Here is a 4543-nt window from a genome sequence, read left to right as displayed (position 1 = left end):
CTGTCATCATCACAATGAGACAGCTGGGTGCTGGAGACTCAGAAACTGCCATGCAGACCTTGAGTCCTTCCCAGGCCCAGCCAACAGGGCAGAGAATCCAGGAGAAAAGTCATTTTCACCTCCTGAAGGACCAGAGCTGACCAGGCACCTAGAAGCTGTGCCCCACTGCAGGCTGCCGGTGGAGCTCATGACAAGGCCGGAACAAGGCCGGAACGTGAAGCACTCCCTTGTCTGTCCTTTTTTCCTGAAGGCTGGGGCTTGCCCGGCCAATGTCACCCTTCAGGACAGGGAATCAGAGCTTTGCATGGCTGCCTTACCCCACCAGGGCAACGCCACAGAGAATCATGGCTGAGGCTTTCCTGTGGGCTGCAGTGCCTGACCCTTTAGGGTCCCCACAAAAACACCTTTCCTGCAAATAATCCACCGTGTCCTGCTTGCCAGCCTAGGCTTCCTCATCAGTTGGTGATTTCAATGAAAACAAACTACAGTGGAATGAACAAGTTCTAAATCAGGAACACACAAAGAATCTGTGGAAAGTCCATTTGTCATCTAGATTTTTAAAAGATACACATTTTCCCTTCTTGTTATATTCAGTAGTGCATGAAGCCAATATTATAATAGATGTGCAACTCACACTAAAGCTGACTAAAGGGTGAATTCTTATTCTAAGGTACTTTGTGGTCTCAAATTTATCTGTTCCCACCCCCAGGACCCCATTAAAACTGAATAATTGTCATTGAGAGCAGATGTAGAAAGAAACTAGCTAGGCAGATAGAGCAAAGAGTTCTCAACAGAACGTCCCTTCTAACAGAAAGCAACCCAGGAATTCACTTCTCTTTAACAAAGAGCAGCCTGGAAAATTGGGCTGCAATCATACAAAAGGAAGCTGGAAGCTTGTGTGGGCAGGGATGCCTGCAGCTGCATGGGTAGAAATGACCACCTTGGGCCAGACATATCCAACATGGGGGGCCCCACCCCTCTTTGTAGCATATGCACAGTAGAAAAGAGATAAGCAACTTGGAGTAGCTCAGGCTGAGAATCTGCCTGCATAATAAAAGGTTGGGGTGTGAGCTGCCAGAGATTCATGCTCTAAGCAGATGACACACCTGGTCCTAACCACTTTTTCATGCCCTATGTGGATAACATACCCCCTCCCACTAGCTCATCTATAAAAACACTTGTATTTCACTGCAGAATGGCAACTCTTTTTTTCTGGATCCCTCTCTGCAGCAGAGAGCTGTTCTCTTTTTCTCACCCATTAAACTTTTGCTCTAACCTCACCTTTGGCATATCTGTGTCCTTGGTTTCCTCGGTCCTGACACCAAGAAGTTCAGGTGTAACCCCAGAAGACACGGCCAGTTTATCATGACTTGTCTCATTGCCTCTTGGGACATAGAAACGTCAATGAAAATGTGTCCAAAAGGACATTTCATAAAGTGCTCTCTCTTCCAATCTTCAAGCAATGTGGGACTATCCATCATGTATAAAAAACTTGTGGCTGAAATGCACAATTTCTAATACAAAAATGAATGCTATAAATTACTCTATGTATGTGTATTATGGCCATTCAGACATCGTCACACATTGCCACATTTAGATAGAAGAACCTGTGAACTTGTGGCTGTTAGGAAGCTTAACTTGTGCATACTGTCACCTATGAAAGTTAGTTTTCCCTGCGTTTCTTGAAACCAACCTTGAAATGTCCATCTTGTACACAATTTCTATTTATCCCCAGTGAGGTTCACCCATCTGGCCCCGCCCTTACAGCCCTGGTACCAATGGAATTGCACTTGCTTATGCTTCTTCAAATTTTCTTGAGGTCATAAACATTTAGTGACAGAGTGGAATGAGAAGGTACTGAAGCAAGGGCTGATGCCTTCTGGGTAGATGGGTAGAGATCTCCTGCAGCCTGGACATCTTCAAAATAAGTAGGTTATAGGTCAATTTAGAGAAAAAAATAATACTCTTTCTTTGAACACCACAAAGAGAAAAGCGCTGGATCTAGATGTGTCTGTGAAGCCAGGCTTGTCCTGGGAAAGTGAGAAGAGCTGAGCAGGAGCCCTGGCAATGGAGGGTGGGTGAGATGTGGTCCCCACGGAGAGACCGCTAGGGTCAGGGCTTGGTACAGTGAGGCTGGCAGGGACCTTCGGAAGGCAAGGGAAGATGGCCAAGGACACAAGGCTGAAGCAACCCATCTGAGCCAAAGATCTGTTTAGGTCCTTCTGAATCTCAGCAGCCTTGCCAAGGAAGGCATGATTACCCATGGGTATCAGAGACACTGGAGGCTGGCAGCTGGCGGGTGGGCCAGGAGGCCTGACTACTGCACAGGTGTGATTTCACTGGCAGGCCAACTGCAGGGAGTGGATAAAGAGAGAGCTCTGTGTGGGAATCTCTCTCGGTGGATCATCGAAGAGGTGAAGTCTTCTTCATAGCCTCAAACCCAATTTGTGGGATAGCAATTCCAGTGAAGCTGGGACAAGCTGGCACTGCTCAACCAGGCCTCCCAAGATACCAGGTTTCTTTCCACCACAGCTGGGCCTGGATTGGGATGTGAACATCTATCCCAGAGTCCAGAGGATGGGACCCTGGTCAGTGATGGTGCTGGTGTGTGGTGTGAAGCCAGGTAGGGCAGACTCTTCAGGTGGGAGGAGAAGACAGCCTCTCCTGTGGGCTCCTGGGCAAGTCAACACCCTCTTTGGGCCTGTCTCCTCAACTGGAAAATGCAGAAAGCCTGTTGTGCAGGCCTCACAGGGTCATGATAAGGGGCAAAGGATGAAGGAAACTTCAGAATTCTTGTGCCCACCTCTTCCTGAGAGGGATGATGGTGAGAACAATGGTGATAGCCACATGCAACTGAGTCCTCAGGAGGTACTGTGAGGAAGGTGTTGTTCTCATCACACTTCCTAGATGAAAAAACAGTTTCAGGAAGGCCTGGCTGCATGCCCAAGGTTACACACACAGTGAGTGTTAAAGCTGGGAGTAAATCTAGAATCAGGACTCACTGGAGCTGGTGGGAGCATTACACCGGCTGACTCAGGCAGTTATCCAAGATCTGAGGTCGCTGGGGCTGGAGTGTAACTGTGAGACAGGCACAGTCTCACTGACCCTGTTTCTGACTCTACTAGGTAGGAACCTTTTTAAAGAGTCCAGATGGGGCTGCAGCAGCAGGTGAATTGGCCTATGGTAGGGAGGGGCTCCAGAGAGTCAAGGACAGGGCTCCTCCCTCCCAGCTGGAGTTCTCCACATCAAGAGACCTGGGTGTCTTCCTCCTCCAGCCCTGCCCTCCTGTGGCCACAATGCTTGGAATGCCTTCATTAGAGAGACTAGAGAAAGGGCCTGGGAGAGCTAGGCTCAGAGTAGATTAGACGAAGAGTGAGGGTGGGGACGATCTGACTTTGTGATTTATTAAAATCACACCATAGAGGTAACTAAGAAGTGCTTAGCGTCTTTGGAGGTCAGCTGTGGAAAGAGGAGGGAAAGATTTTGGGCAAGGAGGTGAAAGGTCCTTGGATGCTCTGAGTGAGAGACTTGGGTACGGGGGTCAAGGAGAAATAGGTTGGTGAGAGTTCAAAGGAGAGGTCTTGTGCAGTTAGCTGAGAATTGGTGCTCATCACTGCTACCACCTTGATAACACAGGCTGCTGTGCCCCCACTCCCCTCCCCCCCACCCCCCACCCCGGGCACACTTCTCAACAACCTGCAGATGCTGGAAATTGCCATAGAGGATTATAGAGATGTGAGTGAGACTGGGGCAGGCAGGCAGGGTGGGGACCAGGATCCTGAAGCTTGCGAGGACAGAGTCCTGGACTGAATCCTGAGACTGCAGCACTCAGCAAACCCCTTTCCTGAGAGCCTACCAGATGCCCCTGTAAATGGCAGTGTCAGTTCCGTCTTATCTATGAGTGACGGAGCCTCCAGCAAAGACACCATTTCCTGTTCCTTGAGTAGTAAAGCTGCAGAGCTAAGTCTCAGCCTCTGCCTTAGCTGGTACCCATTGCAGAAGAGAGAAATTGGGCCCCTCCTAAGACAGGCAGGTCCTAAATTGTTGAGTAACTTCTTTGTTTCCAAGGCCTTTGTCTCCCTATCATCACAGAGAATCAGGGAGAAAGGTCACTGAGCCTCAGTGTCCCTTCTGTGGAGCCCAGAACCTGATGCAGGTCTAAGTCCTGTTTTATGCACATGCTCTGACCCTGGTGGCCCTGGTGGTGGTGCAGCATAGGAAGTATAAGGGATGAGGTCTAGTCCTGTGTCAGGAAGCCTTTCTCATGAATCTTGGCTGTCTACCTCCTAAGAACATATAATCAACACTAATAAAGGAAGAAGGTGAGCAGCTGGCGCTGTCGCTTTGAGGGAGGGTGGGGATGTGAAAGTCAGACACCACCCTGAGGAAGACACTCCTTGGCTCCATCCTCTGCATCTTAGATTTATTGGGAAGGTTTGATACACAGAGAAGCAGGAGCCCCATCCCAATGGAGGGTTTGATTAGGGGAATAGAATCAATGATAAACTCCTAGAGGAGGGACTGTTTATATCCAACTCTTGAG

This window comes from Homo sapiens, chromosome 16 (assembly GCF_000001405.40).
Source record: "Homo sapiens chromosome 16, GRCh38.p14 Primary Assembly".
Taxonomy (NCBI): domain Eukaryota; kingdom Metazoa; phylum Chordata; class Mammalia; order Primates; family Hominidae; genus Homo; species Homo sapiens.
Note: the sequence above shows the minus strand (reverse complement) of the source record.